At 34.6% G+C, this 19,002-nt stretch overlaps 1 protein-coding gene and 1 long non-coding RNA gene across 19 annotated transcripts in view; one reads left to right on the top strand and one right to left on the bottom strand.

The window, feature by feature from the left end:
* Positions 1-19,002, top strand: part of SCN1A (sodium voltage-gated channel alpha subunit 1) — a 164,521-nt gene that overhangs the window by 98,487 nt on the left and 47,032 nt on the right. For 6 of the 18 annotated variants that reach the window (NR_148667.2, NM_001353949.2, NM_001353950.2 and 3 more), the window contains 10 exons: positions 1,726-1,789; positions 2,907-3,048; positions 3,699-3,905; positions 5,348-5,632; positions 6,626-6,973; positions 8,251-8,383; positions 9,206-9,444; positions 11,079-11,252; positions 12,543-12,899; positions 14,145-14,627. Coding sequence is in view for 17 of the 18 variants with exons in the window: in NM_001353949.2 (NP_001340878.1) it covers positions 1,726-1,789; positions 2,907-3,048; positions 3,699-3,905; positions 5,348-5,632; positions 6,626-6,973; positions 8,251-8,383; positions 9,206-9,444; positions 11,079-11,252; positions 12,543-12,899; positions 14,145-14,627 (2,432 nt within the window). In the remaining variant the exon portion in view is untranslated. Of the gene's footprint in view, positions 1-1,725; positions 1,790-2,906; positions 3,049-3,698; positions 3,906-5,347; positions 5,633-6,625; positions 7,007-8,250; positions 8,384-9,205; positions 9,461-11,078; positions 11,253-12,542; positions 12,900-14,144; positions 14,628-19,002 lie in introns of all 18 variants that reach the window. The other 12 variants (NM_001202435.3, NM_001353948.2, NM_001165963.4 and 9 more) reach the window with 6 other exon arrangements.
* The window catches only part of LOC102724058 (uncharacterized), a 78,983-nt gene continuing 74,255 nt past the window's right edge, over positions 14,275-19,002 (bottom strand). Inside the window, exon 4 of the long non-coding RNA NR_110598.1 lies at positions 14,275-14,609. This is a non-coding gene — a long non-coding RNA (uncharacterized LOC102724058). The remainder of the gene's footprint in view (positions 14,610-19,002) is intronic.

Raw genomic sequence — 19,002 nt, 5'->3', positions numbered from 1 at the left:
AGACCCCTTCTCTACAAAAAAAAAATATATACACACATATATATATATATATATATATATACTTTTTTTAATGAGTTGGGTGTGGTGGCATCTTCCCATCTCAGCCTCCTTAGTAGCTGGTGATACGAATGCCAGTAGGTCCACTTCAATCACCAGCTCCCTGAAATCTGTTGTTTGTTTGTTTTATCTAAGTTCAAAATACTGACTATGAGGGTTATTTAGGGTTTATTCTCTCTAGGGAAAATTTATTGGACTGCATTTTTCCAATACTCGAAGTAAAATAATATCTGAGGTCATTTTCAGCTCTAAACATCTATGGTTCTTATTTTAAACCAAATGCAAATATAAATAAAATGGTTCATTTCTGAAAATAATAGAAAATTAAATTTATTAAAATTAAAGGTAACTATTATAACTGAAAAATTATATTTTCCTCAGGTTAAGGCTGATCATTAAGGTTAGATCATTGAATTTAATGGGCAAAACTTCATTTATAAATATGAGATATCAAAAATTCATCCAGAAACTATTATAGTCCTTTCTCTTTGTTTAATTTTAATTGAAAGTTAGGAAATACTATGTCAACTTTCCTGTCTAGGTTCAAGGAAGTCAGAATATTAGAAATAAAAATGATATTTTTCCTTATGTGCTTCTGTGTCCTGTACAGAACTATGTATGGAATAAATTCCTCAGAAAACTTAGCATCTAGAAAATATATCTTCTTACAAAATCCAACATTGATTGTTTAATTCCATGTTTTTCTCTTTTTGTCTTTTATTTACTTATTCATTCAATAAACTTTACAGAAAGGCTACCCGGTCTCAAACAAACACTAATATAGAAATAATTAATGATTGGGACTTTCTAGGAGGAATATTTGTAAATAAATAATTACAATATAGTAGTGTCATCCTAAGAATAATTCAAGTATATACAGGTTACTGGTAGCACAGTGAGGGGAGTTCTTAATTATGTCAATATTTAGTAGAAAGAAAGTTGAAAATACCAAGGAAAAAGTTATAGAAGAACTGGACATTGCAAGAAGCCAAGGAGTTTGCAAGAAACAGGAATCTTTGAGATAATGTAGTGTTCACCTATAGTCATTATTTTAGCTTTAGTATTTAAGACTTTTTAAAATTGCTTTCATTTCAGTTGTTGATATGATTTATGCATATTTTACTATAAGTTGCCTATATTCTGCAAAATGTGAGAATATGTTATACTTAATTATTAAAATGTATAGTGTTAAAAATATAGGCGAGAGGACCAGAAAATATACTATTCTTTTATTTTGAAATATGTGGCTGTTTTGCAAAAACAAAGAAATTCCTGTCATTCCTGTCTATTTTTACTGAATGAATTTTTTTCGTGAGAATGGTGAACAAATGCTAATACCTTTTTGAAAGATTATGTTAGTACCTGTCATTATCACTAACTTTACATTCATAATGAAGAAATACTTTGCACTGTAAAGTGTCTAAAGTATCTTTGCACTGTATCTAATCTAATGTCATTTCTTCATAATGAAGAAATACTTTGCACTGTAAAGTATCTAATAGAATATCTAGAATTTAGAGGGAGAAGAGACAAATACTTGTGCCTTTGAATGAATAATATATTTAAAATTACTCAATAAACTTAAAAGTAGAACCTGACCTTCCTGTTCTCATTTGAGTGTTTTTAACAATGCAAATGTTCATCATACGACTTTCTTTTTTCAAACAGGATATCATTATTTCCTGGAGGGTTTTTTAGATGCACTACTATGTGGAAATAGCTCTGATGCAGGGTAAGTCAATAATTTGTGTGTATCTGTGTATATTTGTATGTACACATACATATGTGTATCTTTTCTCTCTTTTTATAGAAACTGAAGATAACAGCCAACTAATTTTATTGACATTAATTTGCTATATGTAAGGTTTTTGATAAAGTATGAGATTATGTAAATATTAGGTAAGATTTATGTTTTCTAAAACAAGAAGTAATACTTTTAGACACATGCACACGTATGTTCATTGCAGCACTATTCACAATAGCAAAGACATGGAATCAACCTAAATGTCCATCAATGATAGGCTGGATAAAGAAAATGTGGTACATATACATCATGGGATACTATGCAGCCATAAAAAATAACTAGATCATGTCCTTTGCAGGGATATGGATAGAACTGGAGGCTATTATCCTTAGCAAACTATTGCAGGAACAGAAAACTAAGTACCGCATGTCCTCACTTATAAGTGGGAGCTAAATGATGAGAACACATGGACACATATAGGGAACAACACACACTAGGGCCTACCAGAGTGTGCAAGGTGGGAAGAGGGAGAGGATCAGGAAAAATAACTAGTGGGTACTAGGCTTAATACCTCAGTGATGAAATAATCTACACAACAAACCCTCATGACACACATTTACCTATATAACAAACCTGTACATGTACGTACCCCTGAACTTCAAATAAAAGTATAAAAAAAGAGAAAAATATCTATTAAACACCTACTGTATATAACAGCAAACATACAAAAAGAGGAGTAATCCTGTTCCTACTTTTTTAGGAGTATATAATAATAACAATGTTGTTCTTTTAGATAAGTATATTGAGCTATAAACTCTGGAGACTCCATAGTAGTAAAAATGAAATGGAGGTGTTGAAAATGCAAATTATCAACAAAAATTATTTTGTAAAATATTATTAGAAATGCTGCACCATATTTTAATGATGACACCAAGTAGCTAATAAGACTATATGCAGTCAAAAGTTGGGAAATAGATTAGTTACTTATTTGTCAAACTTTTATTTTGAAATACCAAATCTTTCTGACTAGGCAATATCATAGCATAGTATCAGAGTAAAAAGGCAGCAGAACGACTTGTAATACTTTCTTTTACCCCACTTGCAGCCAATGTCCAGAGGGATATATGTGTGTGAAAGCTGGTAGAAATCCCAATTATGGCTACACAAGCTTTGATACCTTCAGTTGGGCTTTTTTGTCCTTGTTTCGACTAATGACTCAGGACTTCTGGGAAAATCTTTATCAACTGGTGAGAACTAAAGAGCCACACTCTCCATTTAAGTAAAAGTATACAAGAAAACCAATTGAGTTATGAAATTAAAACCGGATGATAATATAGTAGAAAGAGCAGAACTTGAAACGAGACTTGAGTTCCTCTATCCTATTGATTATAACACATACTGAGCAGAGTGATGCCAAGGATTGCAATTCTCTCCCATTTCTTCTTGGCTCAAAACCTGTTCCCTACCCTTCTCAGACACAGATTGTCCTAAACAGAAGGCACATTCTCCCTTCAGCCCTATCTACCCCCTCAAATATTATCCCTCAGGTGGGAAGTAATGAAAATGAAAAAGCAGATATAGAAAGATAACTTTGGTCTGTTCCTTGACTTTCCTAAAGGCTCAGGTCGTTAATGGAGGACTCCATGGCATTTTATTGACTGTTTCATTCTTGGTGAATACAAAAATTCTGCCATAGAAATCATAGTGTGAATGCATAAGCTAGAAGAGAAGGAAGAAGCTGAAGTTAAAGAAACAATAAAAAAAAAGTACAGGGTGCTATGACCAACATAATTACTATTTATATCTGAGTTTTGCTAGACACATGAGTAAATTGAAAGTTGAAGCCACCACTTAGTGAAATAATATTGAGAAATAATTCTGATATTTTTGTTTGCAGACATTACGTGCTGCTGGGAAAACGTACATGATATTTTTTGTATTGGTCATTTTCTTGGGCTCATTCTACCTAATAAATTTGATCCTGGCTGTGGTGGCCATGGCCTACGAGGAACAGAATCAGGCCACCTTGGAAGAAGCAGAACAGAAAGAGGCCGAATTTCAGCAGATGATTGAACAGCTTAAAAAGCAACAGGAGGCAGCTCAGGTAAAGCTGCCCTGTCTCATGGCACTGACCTTTTATCGTTCTGATTGTTACGTAATATTGAAGAGAAAGTGAGTACCTAAGAGCAGGTGGTTGTATGAGGAATTAATAATGATTTCTATATTTTGATGATCCACTTACTTTTATTTAGTTTAATTATTTTATTTGAGATGTGTATAATAATAACCACAATAGAACTCTCTCATGCTATTTTAATCATCTTAAGATTCTCAAAGTAAAGGGAAAATGTTATTTTGGGGTATTTTCAAGTGAGAGACTTTTATTCAATGAGTAGACTGGCATTAGGAGGAAATCATCTTTTCTTAGAACAAGAAATTATTGGTTATCATATGAAGAGTTGCTCCTCTAGTTCTTAAACATAGTCTCCTTTTTTCTTTAACTAAAAATATGTTGGCTTTTAACGTGGTTGCTTTATTACCTTTATAAGGAAGTGATCAAATAATATAATGATCTCTGATACAGCAGCATCCAATAGACATATGAATGTTACCAATCTTACACAGATTGACCATCTAAAAAGGATTACTTGTTTTTATAGTGAAGTGTTAGTCCTCACAGTGTGATAAATCATAAAATGCCTCTCCTATCTCTCTCATCTTTCTGTTTAGCATACAAACTTATTGTCTTTACTAAAGAAGAAAGTTGTTTCAGAAATATTAATTTATATGCAAGAGTAATTAATTTATCGAGGTTACCCTGGGAACAATGATAATAATAAAAAAGTGTCAACTTAGTACCAGTACAAGCTATAATCAAAAAGCATTGTTTTATTCCATGCCCATGTGCCCCTTAAGAACCAGTACTGATTTGAAGATGGTGGGGACAGTTTTTGGAGAACTGGATGTCTTATCTTGCTCAGCAGAAACTATTGATTCTCCCTTCCCCATTCTTCTGGATATTGTGGATGGGTGAGAAAGGGATTTTATAACTGTCCATAAATAGGATTAATAATATTTTGAGGGTATTGGACAATCCAATTTCAATAACTAGAGAAAGGACCTCAGGTCCTTATCCCATTCCCCTGCCTTAAACTCATCAGCTTTTCTTCCATACTCGAGTTTCTTTTTCGGAGAAAAGAAAACAACACTAATTAAATACCAATTTTTAAAGTAAATCAAATCCCAAAAAGTAATGAATTTATTTTCTTGTTGATACATGTTGGATATTTTTGAATACGTGGTCTGTGGAGCATTAACAGAGACATAATAAATGTTACCATGGAGCAAACTAAATTATCTCCAAAAGCCTTCATTAGGTAGAAAGAAAAAAAAAATCTCCTCTTATACTTGCAGAGAATCTTCTCTGTGAGATGATCTTCAGTCAGTTCAATATATTTTTTAAAAGCCATGCAAATACTTCAGCCCTTTCAAAGAAAGATACAGTCTCTTCAGGTGCTATGTTAAAATCATTTCTCTTCAATATAGCAGGCAGCAACGGCAACTGCCTCAGAACATTCCAGAGAGCCCAGTGCAGCAGGCAGGCTCTCAGACAGCTCATCTGAAGCCTCTAAGTTGAGTTCCAAGAGTGCTAAGGAAAGAAGAAATCGGAGGAAGAAAAGAAAACAGAAAGAGCAGTCTGGTGGGGAAGAGAAAGATGAGGATGAATTCCAAAAATCTGAATCTGAGGACAGCATCAGGAGGAAAGGTTTTCGCTTCTCCATTGAAGGGAACCGATTGACATATGAAAAGAGGTACTCCTCCCCACACCAGGTATGGCACTGCTGAGTTTACTGATGCATGGTTGAAAATTAAAACATGGGAGAGAGGGGGAGAATTAGAAAATGGACTCAGGAATTTTTATCAACTGAATCAACCACTGTTGTGTTATATTTAAACCCATCCCTTCTTCACATAGTTATGCAAAAACTTTACTCCACAGATATGTAAGTCTACAGCTCGGTGTAGTTAAGATAACACCAAGTTGACAGTCAGGAGAACTGGACTGTCATTCTGATACTGTCTGCTGATATTTGTCTATAACTAATGACATTTAATCTTTTTGATCCTCAGCACTTTTAAGAAAAAAAAAAATGTGGAACTCCGGATAGTCGATCAGGAATGTCCTTAGGTTATTTTATGATTTTATGTTTTTTTTCCCCCTAACTTCTTTATAAGTCACCATGCATGCTTCTGAAAATATTAGTCATGGTACACTTGATCAAAAGGCACATGACTCTGAATTTCAGAAGTATGAACTTCAAGTTCCAACAATACAATGCCTTATAGGTGAAAAAGAAATAATAATTAAAGTGATTTTAGAAAGGTGGACTAAAGTAAATTGTGAGGAGTGTTGAAAGTTTTTGAAAGACAAGATCCATAAAAACCAAGGTGGCCTTGTTAAGGTCATGGTGCCAGTGTTCACTGAATGTTTACCACGTCCATTGCCATATTCTAAGGATGTTTCCCTTTGAACTTGAGAAATGGTCGTTCAGGGTGTGTGTGTATGTGTGTGTGTGTGTGTTTCAATATGTTAAGGTTGCAATCTATCTCCTCATTCTTTAATCCCAAGGGCTAGAAACTTTCTTTTATCAAGGTAATTTAATTTAATGTGAATGCACATAAAATGAGAATGATAATCAAAAGGAATGAACCATATTCTGTTATGAATGCTGAAATCTCCTTCTACATAATCTTGCAAAATGAAATCACATTCAAATGTCCATATTAATATGACTTTATTTGTTTGCTCTTTCAAACTTCTAGTCTTTGTTGAGCATCCGTGGCTCCCTATTTTCACCAAGGCGAAATAGCAGAACAAGCCTTTTCAGCTTTAGAGGGCGAGCAAAGGATGTGGGATCTGAGAACGACTTCGCAGATGATGAGCACAGCACCTTTGAGGATAACGAGAGCCGTAGAGATTCCTTGTTTGTGCCCCGACGACACGGAGAGAGACGCAACAGCAACCTGAGTCAGACCAGTAGGTCATCCCGGATGCTGGCAGTGTTTCCAGCGAATGGGAAGATGCACAGCACTGTGGATTGCAATGGTGTGGTTTCCTTGGTTGGTGGACCTTCAGTTCCTACATCGCCTGTTGGACAGCTTCTGCCAGAGGTGATAATAGATAAGCCAGCTACTGATGACAATGTAAGGAAGTTTTAAATAGTTCAGGCATGGCTGGCTCACTATTGCTGCACCAGCCAGTGTTTCTACAGAACGGCAACCTTGAGAATGATTCCTGGTTGGTCACGCTGTGAATGCACCTGCATCTTGTAATATCTTTAATAGACTAACCAACTAAAACTTAAAACCTTAGCAGTCTCCTGCACAAACCTGAATGCATTTACTTATTAAAAGTGCTAAGGATTGATTAGACACAATAATTACTGCCTCCAGTTGGAGGATTTGCTATATACCCACACTGAATTTAGATAGCAGGACATTCTCCAAGGCTCTGGTATGAAAGTAAATGAATGATTCTATGTTTAAGTGTCAAGGGTATGTAATAAATCTTTCCAATGGATTCTTCAAGATCTCTGCTTTAGTTTAGATTTTCAAAAACACTGCTTAAGTAGATAGCTTCATTGTTACCTTAATACTCCTAGTACTCATATTTTTCTTACTAAAAAATGCTGATATAGGTCTTCTCAAAATTAAATGAAGAGACACAAATACATTATTAATACAGACAGATAAAATAATTGTCTGTGTACAAAGGTATGTTATGTGTTTGTGGATGTATACTCAGATGAGGAATTTCTAAACAGATGCTGCCTCTTCTTAGACTGTTTACTCACTTGGAAATATATCAGCATGAGGAGGCATGACTAAGTCAGAATTAGATGACTTATTGCTTTGGTACCCTGGATGAAACTGTTGTCCATGCAGCATGTGTGTGTTCTTTTTAACATAGAGTTTGTGTTGTCAATGACCATCTACATCTTGTGTCCAGAAAATAAGATGGCAGCTAAGTGTGTTGCAATCATTTATACTTCCTTAAAATTAAATAGCTACCTTCTCAAAAATCAAGTGCCTTGATCACTTGTAGGACTTTTAAGTTACTAGGCTTTTACTATTAGTTCAGAAATAAGGGTAATAACTGTTAAATATATCTCTTAAGAGTTTTATCAACTATATTAAAATTATTTTGTATTTTATAAAATTATGAAATCAGGAAGTTAACATCTTGGTTTTTGCTGTATGACTAAATGGTTAACAGTTTGAACATTCCAGGCTAATGATACAATAAGTCAGAAATATCTGCCATCACCAATTGAATATGAAAGTGCATGATGCATGTGTTTCATGAAATTCACTGTGTCACCATTTGGTTGTTTGCTTGTCATATTGCTCAAATTAATTGTTTAATGCATTAGCATTTTTTTTTACAGGGAACAACCACTGAAACTGAAATGAGAAAGAGAAGGTCAAGTTCTTTCCACGTTTCCATGGACTTTCTAGAAGATCCTTCCCAAAGGCAACGAGCAATGAGTATAGCCAGCATTCTAACAAATACAGTAGAAGGTTGGTAACAAATTCTATTTTCGTTTCAATTATTTTCACCAAACTTATATTGTCTCATTTCAAACAAATATATTTGTGAGTTGGGAATAGTGCATTCTAATGAAAAGACAGTCTAATTCAAGAGCTGTTATTTCTTATATCTACTCAGATATTCTAGAAGCCTTAACAATTTATTTTAAAATGAGTGATATTGGGACTAAGAATGTTTTCCTAACTGTGTAGCAACTCTTTGAAAATGCAGAACAAAGCATTTCTGTTAGGGGTTTCTAATCTCATTAGTCATAGTGACCCTCTTTTTGTTCCATTAGTTTAAGACTTCAGCAGTACAGCCCTTTTCAGCCTCATCCTAAGTACTCTCAAGATTGTAGAGGAAGAGCAGGTCATTTTCACAAAATAAAAACAAGCTAAAAAGATGATTCTTGGGTCACATCAATCCCTATTCTAGCTCTCATAGTCTGAGGTTGACAATGTAGAGTCATTCACATAGGGTTGCACACACAATATCTACACCACCCTAAACCATGTTCCCATTGAGACGTCACATGAAAGACCACTCATTTAACTTGAGGCCAAGTGCTGAGCCACAATGTCAGTGCATAAGACAAAAAACTACCCATTGTTACCTGGGCTCTATGTGTGTGTCTGATGAAATATCCTTGGGAGGTTTAGAGTAAACTGTAATTTTTTTAACAAGTACAAAAAAGGTTGTCTCTGTAACAAAAATGTGTTGATTACTGAAAATAAGTTTAGTGGATATGAAATAAATGTGTGTGTATAAAGTATACCTTTTGGTGGTTCTTTTTTTTTTTTTTCTTAATCTAGAACTTGAAGAATCCAGGCAGAAATGCCCACCCTGTTGGTATAAATTTTCCAACATATTCTTAATCTGGGACTGTTCTCCATATTGGTTAAAAGTGAAACATGTTGTCAACCTGGTTGTGATGGACCCATTTGTTGACCTGGCCATCACCATCTGTATTGTCTTAAATACTCTTTTCATGGCCATGGAGCACTATCCAATGACGGACCATTTCAATAATGTGCTTACAGTAGGAAACTTGGTAAGCATATTGGAAGGTAAATGTGTTTAGTCTTCAAATTTTCTGCTTGAAAAACTGTTTACATTTAATTGTGTATAGCAGTCTTTCAACCATCCTTCATGCTTCCTGGCCCCTGCAAAATCGCAATTATATTTAGCTGGCTATACTCTACTTTTTTGCCAAAAATAATCACCCTTAATGTGCTCACAAAAACTGAGAAAGGCATAGGCCTACAGCACTACTTGAAAAGTCAACAGCAATATTTATAATTTTTCAGGATCCAGAAGTAGCTCATAGATTAAGAACATACTTTTTGAGATATTATTACAATTTCCCTTACTGTAGAAGATTAAAATAAAATTGTGGATCTCTTTTATCCTTCTTAGTCATCATCACTGCAAGAAATAATTTAACAACTCAAAAATGTCTCCAGCTTTTCCTCTTCCAGGATCTAAGTAGTACATGTATTGTTTATCCATCTATTCTATATCAAAACCATGAACTATTGAAAACTTCCAGTACATTTTGTGTGTTATATGATTACAAAGGTCATTTTTGGTGAAGATTGCCACTTAATTTTTCCTTTTTGTGCTTCAAAAACATAAATTATTAAAGTGTTTGCCAGTCAACTCAACTTAGGAATACTAGCTTTTATTTGCTGAAGGAAAGAGCTATCTAAAGTAATTTATGCATTTCCTGTAATATTTGGTTTGAAGTTTAGGATTTTTGATGGTAGAAAACAAAAGCATCATGCATAACAACCTGCATTTTATTAGTTATATTTTTGAAGTTCTACTATTTATACTACAGAAGTAAATTTATTTTTTTCATGTGCATAACAAAGAATGACAATAGTAATGCACCTAGTATAATAGATAAGAATGTATAACTCTGATTGAGGGAAATAGGAATAAGCTTATAGATAAATAAAAGTGCTCATGGGCAAAATGTTGTCAGTACTTGTGGTATATAAAGTCTGGACAAAAAGGTAGTTTGGTATAATGGAAAGAGCACTGTTAAAAATAGATGACTTGGGCTGGGCGCAGTGGCTCACGCCTGTAATCCCAGCACTTTGGGAGGCCGAGGCGGACGGATCACGAGGTCAGGAGATCGAGACCATCCTGCCTAACATGGTGAAACCCCGTCTCTACTAAAAATACAAAAAATTAGGCGGGCGTGGTGGCGGGCGCCTGTAGTCCCAGCTACTCGGGAGGCTGAGGCAGGAGAATGGCGTGAACCCAGGAGCTTGCAGTGAGCCAAGATGGCACCACTACACTCCAGCCTGGGCGACAGACTGACACTCCGTCTCAAAAAAAAAAAAAAAAAAAAAAAAAAAAAAAAGATGACTTGTACTCAAATCCTAGTTTTGCCATTTTCTTGCTGTATGATATCAAGCAAGCCATTTCACCCATCTGAAGACCTCAGTTTCCTTATCTGTAAAGTAATAATTGTATATTATCTACTTCGCGTTTCCACAAGGATAAAATTAAATAATGTATATGAAAGTCTTTCATCAACTACAAATTGCCATACAAATTTAAGTTAGTAATAGAATCATTGTGGGAAAATAGCATAAGCATTATGTTCTAAGAGCAAATCTTATGTCATGTATGTTATTATCTGGTGGAATTAGATTAATTTTGTTTTGATCTTAGGTTTTCACTGGGATCTTTACAGCAGAAATGTTTCTGAAAATTATTGCCATGGATCCTTACTATTATTTCCAAGAAGGCTGGAATATCTTTGACGGTTTTATTGTGACGCTTAGCCTGGTAGAACTTGGACTCGCCAATGTGGAAGGATTATCTGTTCTCCGTTCATTTCGATTGGTAAAAAAAAAAAAAAAAAGCACCAAATTCAAAAACCTTTCTAACAATCAGGGTTCTTGCATAGCAATGTCATAGTTTTTTTGCCACACAACCATTAGCATTGTAAGTTTTTCTGTAACATTTGCATTGTCAAAAACTTTTCCTACATGGAAAAAAATTCTCAATTATTTATGAAAACCTTTATTTCAAAGAACATAGTTACGTAAAAGTTAACGTATTACTCAGTTGCTATTTTCACTAAGTATTGCTTCTAGAGACTACTACAGTTAATATTTCTAGACCTAAGAAAATATTTTTAATGAAAATGCATCACCTTTTAATAGTAACTTGAAAATATATATAGCCCTTTGTAGCAGTGGATGAAAATCAGATGTAAGATGTGCATGCAGAAACTTTTTCTAATTCTGTCTCTGGAAAATATGCATCTTGCGAAAGTCAAAGGAGAGAAAGTCTGTAGGATTACTAAGCATGCCCATTAATTCACACATATATCCTTACAAGTCAGGAAAATAATTGTAGAATTATAGGAAATATTCCAAGTTTTTCAATGCAGGTGGATGTAACTACATGAATACCCCTAAGGAGCATTAATGAATAATGAACACTTTACTTATATCAGGGCTCAGTATGATGTTACTTTGCACACTACTGGCAAATTAATATCTTTCAGCAGAGATATTTCAGATTCAGATGTTAATATTATAATATCCGGCCTTAGAACCACCTTTATAAAACAAATTAAGAACAGTTGGATTCCAAGTACTCATTAAAAATTCACTATAAGAGGCCTGGCTTGGTGGCTCATGCCTGTAATCCTAGCACTTTGGGAGACTGAGGCAGTTGGATCACTTGAGGTCAGGAGTTCGTGACCAGCCTGGCCAACATGGTGAAACTCCGTCTCTACTATATATATATTTAACCAGGTGTGGTGGCACGTGCCTGTAGTCCCAGCTACTTGGGAGGCTGGGGCAGGAGGATCACTTTAACCTGGGAGGCAGAGGTTGCAGTGAGCCGAGATCACTCCTCTGCACTCCCGCCTGGGTGACAAAAGAAAAAAAAAAAGAAAAGGAAAGAAAAATAATTCACCATCAGAGAAAATGATCTACATGGTTAAAATATGGAAAATCCAGCTTTTCCTAGGGAGTCCAAAAATTAGCCATGAGCCTGAGACGGTTAGGGCAGATCAGATATTGTAAGATATTGAATTCTAATGACCATTTCTAGGTAAAGCTCAATATATATAATGCTTTTAAGAATCATACAAATATATATTAATCTTTCATTTTCCAGCTGCGAGTTTTCAAGTTGGCAAAATCTTGGCCAACGTTAAATATGCTAATAAAGATCATCGGCAATTCCGTGGGGGCTCTGGGAAATTTAACCCTCGTCTTGGCCATCATCGTCTTCATTTTTGCCGTGGTCGGCATGCAGCTCTTTGGTAAAAGCTACAAAGATTGTGTCTGCAAGATCGCCAGTGATTGTCAACTCCCACGCTGGCACATGAATGACTTCTTCCACTCCTTCCTGATTGTGTTCCGCGTGCTGTGTGGGGAGTGGATAGAGACCATGTGGGACTGTATGGAGGTTGCTGGTCAAGCCATGTGCCTTACTGTCTTCATGATGGTCATGGTGATTGGAAACCTAGTGGTATGTACCCACTTAAGATATGCATTTTGGAAATACACCAGCATGGCACATGTATACATATGTAACTAACCTGCACATTGTGCACATGTACCCTAAAACTTAAAGTATAATAAAAAAAAAGAGTATAATTTAATGGTGACTGTTTTGTCAAAAAGAAAAACAAACTATGATTATTGGTTTAAAAGTCCATTACCTTGGATATATTATCACTTTAACAACACAGCAATATAGCAGTGCCCCTGCATTTTTTATACCAAATTCTATTTTGTCAGTCACTTTATCACATTTTTTATGTGAATTACAATAGAGTATCATATTGAGATGAGCCTAAAAGGATGTGCTGGGACCATTTTATAAATTCAGAGCCAAGGAAGAGAGAAGTCTAAAAAAAGTAGAGAGAAAGTGCAAAATTACCATCCAGACTAGGACTAAAAAGTGGTGTCTTTAAGAGTTCATAATGCTTGTGCCATTTCTTTGCCCCATTGCAGCATATGATATTCAATCACTCTATGTCATATGGCAGATGCACTAGCCAACCTGAGTTCATCAGTTCTCGAATGGCTAATGATGCCTGAGATTACCATAATGGAGTAACTGATCAATCTTTATCTCTCTTAAATTTGGAGTGTTACTGTTTATAGTATAGTAATACATAAAATATTCTAAAGGTATGTACATTCATGTGCCAGTCTCATGGAAATATGAGAGATTATTCATAAACAGCTCTACTTAGTCAACAATGAAGTATGAGAAATATAATAGATTAAGAAAACAAGTGTCAGCCTATGTTAAGCTCCTAATCTTCATTCTGAGTTGTAATGGTTATTTTTCAATTGACATCCAATTTAATATCTTTGTTTATTGAAAAATTATAGAATGCATTTAAATGCATACTTGGAAACATTAGTGATTTTTAAGAATTCTCGTATTGTACACATATAAATCTGTTTTCTTCTACTCATACAATTTTAGAGTTAACAAAACCTTAGATTAGCTCATTCAATTTCACTTTACGAATGGGAGAACTTGAGAGCAACAGAAATCATGTCTTTGTCCAAGGATGTGCTATTGAGCCAGTCACAAATTCAGATCACCCATCTTCTAATCACTATGCTGTGGTGTTTCCTTCTCATCAAGTTTTAGAACTTAGAGTTTTTTCCACACTTAAAAGAAAGAATAAGTGATTGTAATCTGCTCTTCCCTACATTGGTGTAAAATTATAATCATGTTTTTGTTGTTTTTAAGGTCCTGAATCTCTTTCTGGCCTTGCTTCTGAGCTCATTTAGTGCAGACAACCTTGCAGCCACTGATGATGATAATGAAATGAATAATCTCCAAATTGCTGTGGATAGGATGCACAAAGGAGTAGCTTATGTGAAAAGAAAAATATATGAATTTATTCAACAGTCCTTCATTAGGAAACAAAAGATTTTAGATGAAATTAAACCACTTGATGATCTAAACAACAAGAAAGACAGTTGTATGTCCAATCATACAGCAGAAATTGGGAAAGATCTTGACTATCTTAAAGATGTAAATGGAACTACAAGTGGTATAGGAACTGGCAGCAGTGTTGAAAAATACATTATTGATGAAAGTGATTACATGTCATTCATAAACAACCCCAGTCTTACTGTGACTGTACCAATTGCTGTAGGAGAATCTGACTTTGAAAATTTAAACACGGAAGACTTTAGTAGTGAATCGGATCTGGAAGAAAGCAAAGAGGTAAGATTCTATAGGTGTGGGAAGGTATGAATACATATACATATATACATATACACACATACAGATGATCCTCAGCTTAATGATGTTTTGACTTAAGATTTTTTTTTTTTTTTACTTTATGATAATACAAAAGCAATAGCCATTCACTAGAAACCATGCTCTAAATTTTGAATTTTGATCTTTTCCCAGGCTAGCAATTTGTGGTACAATATACTCTCATGCTGGGCAGGGGCAGCAAGCTGCAGCTCCCAGTCAACCACGTGATTACAAGGATAAACAACCAATATTTACCGTACAGTGTACTGTATTCAGGAAATTACCTGAGTTATCCAACAGTTTATTATAAATCATGCTTTCCTTTAGATGATTTTGCCCAACTGTAGGCTAATCTACATTTCCTGAGCATGTTTAAAGTAGACTAGGGTAAGCTATAAAGTTTGGTAGTTAGGTGTATTAAGTAAGTTTTGATGTACAATATTTTCAACTCACAATGAGTTTATCAGGAACTAACCTCATTGTAAATTGAGGAACATTTACAATACATGCATTATATTGCCTGTATTTATTATTATATATTTTCCATATAGATTTTTTTGACATCATGTAAAATTTTATTTCACTGAGGAACAAAAGATTTAACTCGGAAATGACTGATAAATTAAAGGGTAATATAGTATACGTGTGAGTTTTCTCATCCTTAGTAATGGATATTTGTTAGATGAATGAATGAACGATCTAACAAATAGACAAACATCATCAGATTTAATCCTTACAATAACCTGGAAAGAAATGTGTTATTATGTTAACTTTTCAGATAAGAAAATTAGCTTAGGGAGCATTAGGTCACATAGCTAGTGAGGGGAGTGCCGAGAGTTGAACTTAGAGCCCTTGTTTACAAGTTCTGTTTATTGTTTTTTGCATCACATTGGCTCATGTACATTGAAGAGAACTTAACAACAAGAAATATTCTTGTAGCTCCTTCAACTAAAATTACACTGCCCTATGCATTAGCCTGTTTGGACTGCCATAACACTATACCATAACTGGGTGGCTTAAACAACCAAAATTTATTTTCTCATAGTCCAGAAACTGGAAAGTCCAAGATCAAGATACCAGCAGCATCAATGTCTAGTGAGGGCTCACTCCTTGGGTTGCAGACAGCCACCTCCTTGCTGCGTCCTCACATGGCCTGTCCTCAATGCATGTACATGGAAAGAGAGAGAACTCTGGTGTCTATTCTTCTTCTTATAAGTGCACCAGCCCTATCAGAATAAAGTCCAACCTGTATGACCTCATTTAACCTTTATCACCACCTTACAGGCCCTATCCCCAAATACAGTCATATTGAAGGTTAGAGCTTCAGCATATGAATTTTGTGGAGACAAAACTTTAATCCATAGCAACCTACTTTGAAATATTAAGTTAAAAGTCTAATGGATATATAAGATAATTAACAAGGAGTCTAGGACAAAGCACCTTTACTTCCCATTTAGTGTTTGGAAATCTCAAAAACAGCAGGGTGCCCATCTTTTAGGCTGTATAGTCTAAATATTTTAAAGGATTGAATACATTAAAGACATTTTATTAGAGATACAATTCTATTAGATATCATCATGTCCATTGCATTTTGATAGTTGTCCATGGAAGATACCACAGGTATGTGACATTCTTTTGATTTAGTGACTATATCCCTTAAAAGATGCTTCAAGTATTTATAATGAGTCTCTGAATAATCTAGGTCAGCCTCCACTTTTAGGAGTAGGGGGCTAATATTGGAGCTGGAAGCAGCTGCCCTGACCCTAGCATTAGAGCTGCTTAGTTAATTCAGATTTGTTTGATGAGAGAAGGGAAAGAAATATAGTGCAGAGATGTAATAGTAGATAGATCCTGTCACATTTCCATGTCTATGGAAATAGATTCAGGACAAAAAAAAAATAGACTGTTTTTATCAAATATTGTGGACTTTTTTACAGAAATTTTAATTTGGATATTATGTCAGTTCAGACTTTGTTTATTTGAGTTTTCCTAAGGAATCAGATGAAGGCTAATTTTTTGAAAAATTGTTGTCTTTATAAAATTGTTTCTGAACTTCTGTTAAAATAAATTTAGTAATAGCCTAGTCTAGCTTCCTTTGTCTTGAATCTTTAGACCTACATTTAGCATTTGATGAGGACTAATGGCTACCATATGCTATCTGTTATATTAAAAAGGAAAAAGACTATTTTACAAAGACCATCCATAAGATATACATTTTCTGTAAAAATTTGACATGATTCTTACTCTTATTGTTTTTTTATATTGATCAAGGCTAAAAGAAACACTAACCTTTTTATAAAGCAACTATCCACTGAAGCACTAGAGGTAGTTCTGTTTCTTTCTACTTTGTGGTATTTTATATCTTGGAACATTGCATTAATTGAAATTTTAAATGTTAAGGTAATAGAAACTTTAGAGATAATTTAATGTGGTGCTTCTCAAATTGTGAGTCATAGTTTAGTTAGACTTGAGAAATCCCTTTAATAGGCCAGTTTTTTTTTTTAATTTTAATGAAATAGTGATCCGCCCACCTCAGCCTCCCAAAGTGCTGGGATTACAGGTGTGAGCTACTGCACCCGGCCAATGAAATAGAACAGAATAACGTTAGAGCACATTTCATGTCAGAGGGAGAAGTCCTGGTAAATGAAGCTTTTGCCACCTGTGCTGAACTTTAATGTTTTGTTTGTCTAATTAGAATGCAACCACTTGGTTCATGGGCATAGTGTCTGAAGTCCAGGAGTTCTTAAGCTTCAGAAAGACTGTTTCAGCTTTTTGAAGGTAGTGATAATGAAGCCTTCCTAACCCTAGGCAGAACAGATTGCTTTCTTTTTTGGTTCCCAGAGATATAAGGCATAGAGTATAGTAATAAATAATGCATCTTCTTGACTCATGCGTCTTACAAAGTACTATCATATTTTAGGGTAGCTACTTATATGCATGCATGTCTCTCCTTTTATGTGGTGACCTACTTAAACATGTTTGGTACAAAGTAGACACTCAGATCAAACTTTTCCAGCTCATTCAACTCTTCTTAATAAAACCATTCTGAAGGGCTCTCATAAATACTTTCTCTGATTAGAGCATACTTGAGATTGTCATTTTAATTCCAATTATTTTGGACCAATTTTTTCTCTAGATTCAAGATTCACTTGAGTTAGATTTTGTTGTTTTTGTTTTTGTTAGCCATGTTACCTTGTCACTTTACACCACCCTTCTAAGAAAGTAATAATCTCTCATCTTTTCCACATGAATTGCTGTTGAAATGCAGTTGTATCTCATCCAGACGAAATTTTGTAATTAAATACTGAAACTTCTATTTATCCCCTAATGATACATTTCAATTTCTTTTATTCATTTTTGAATCTGGCTTTCTTTTTATATTCTTTCACAGATTACCACATTGTATCAAATTTCCTGGCACTTTTACTTCACAATTCCTTTCTTCTTGGTCAGAAATAAACCCACACAATATTGTTTGCCCTCATTGCTTCATCAGTCTTATACTGTATTCTGTTCATCAAAGTAAGGCATAAATTATGAGATATTCTGCTTTTAGAGGAATTAAGCTGACAGCAGATGCCCCAATAGATGAAGAGTCTTTGTTCTACATTAGGAATGCTGCCTGTAGTATATTAATCTCATCATTTTGGTTCTTTTTGTTTTAGCCTTTATTCTTTTTGCCTATTTTCATTTATTTATCAGTTATCATATGCCAGGGAGACTAGATAAAGGAGTATACTAATAAGCTATAAGGAATGATTTTCTCTCTCTGTCTCTGTGTGTGTGTGTGTGTGTGTGTGTGTGTGTGTATGACTTTCAACCTTTAAGTATGAATTTTCATATTGAGACATATGTTACTGATGCAAAAATGTTACCTTTCATGGCCTCTATTAGACTAGTTTCATTTGAACATGTTATTGTTTCCATTCCTGAATTCCAGTAATGACTTATCTACAATGCATCATTATAATACCTCCAAAATTATATTAATGCCTTGTGTTAAAATTACAAGTGCCCACTGTTTATTCTTCATACACTAAATATTTGTTTTTAGACATGTGAGGCCACAGTTATAAAGTTGGTAAATGGTTATACTCTGGAGCCAGATACTGGGTTATATAATTTCATTTTAGCCGCTTACTGTGTGACTTTACCTATCTAATAATCAGTTTCCTCATCTCAAAAATGTGCATAATGTTACTGACTGCATTTCTGGGACAGAGTATTAAATGAGATAATAAATGTGAAGTACTTAGCACAGTGCCTAATTAATATAGAATATCTGGTAAATCATCATTATTATTGTTACCAGTTGCATTCCACACTGTTCCAGTAAGTT

Source organism: Homo sapiens, chromosome 2 (assembly GCF_000001405.40).
Source record: "Homo sapiens chromosome 2, GRCh38.p14 Primary Assembly".
NCBI lineage: Eukaryota > Metazoa > Chordata > Mammalia > Primates > Hominidae > Homo > Homo sapiens.
This window is presented reverse-complemented; position numbering and strand designations above follow the sequence as displayed.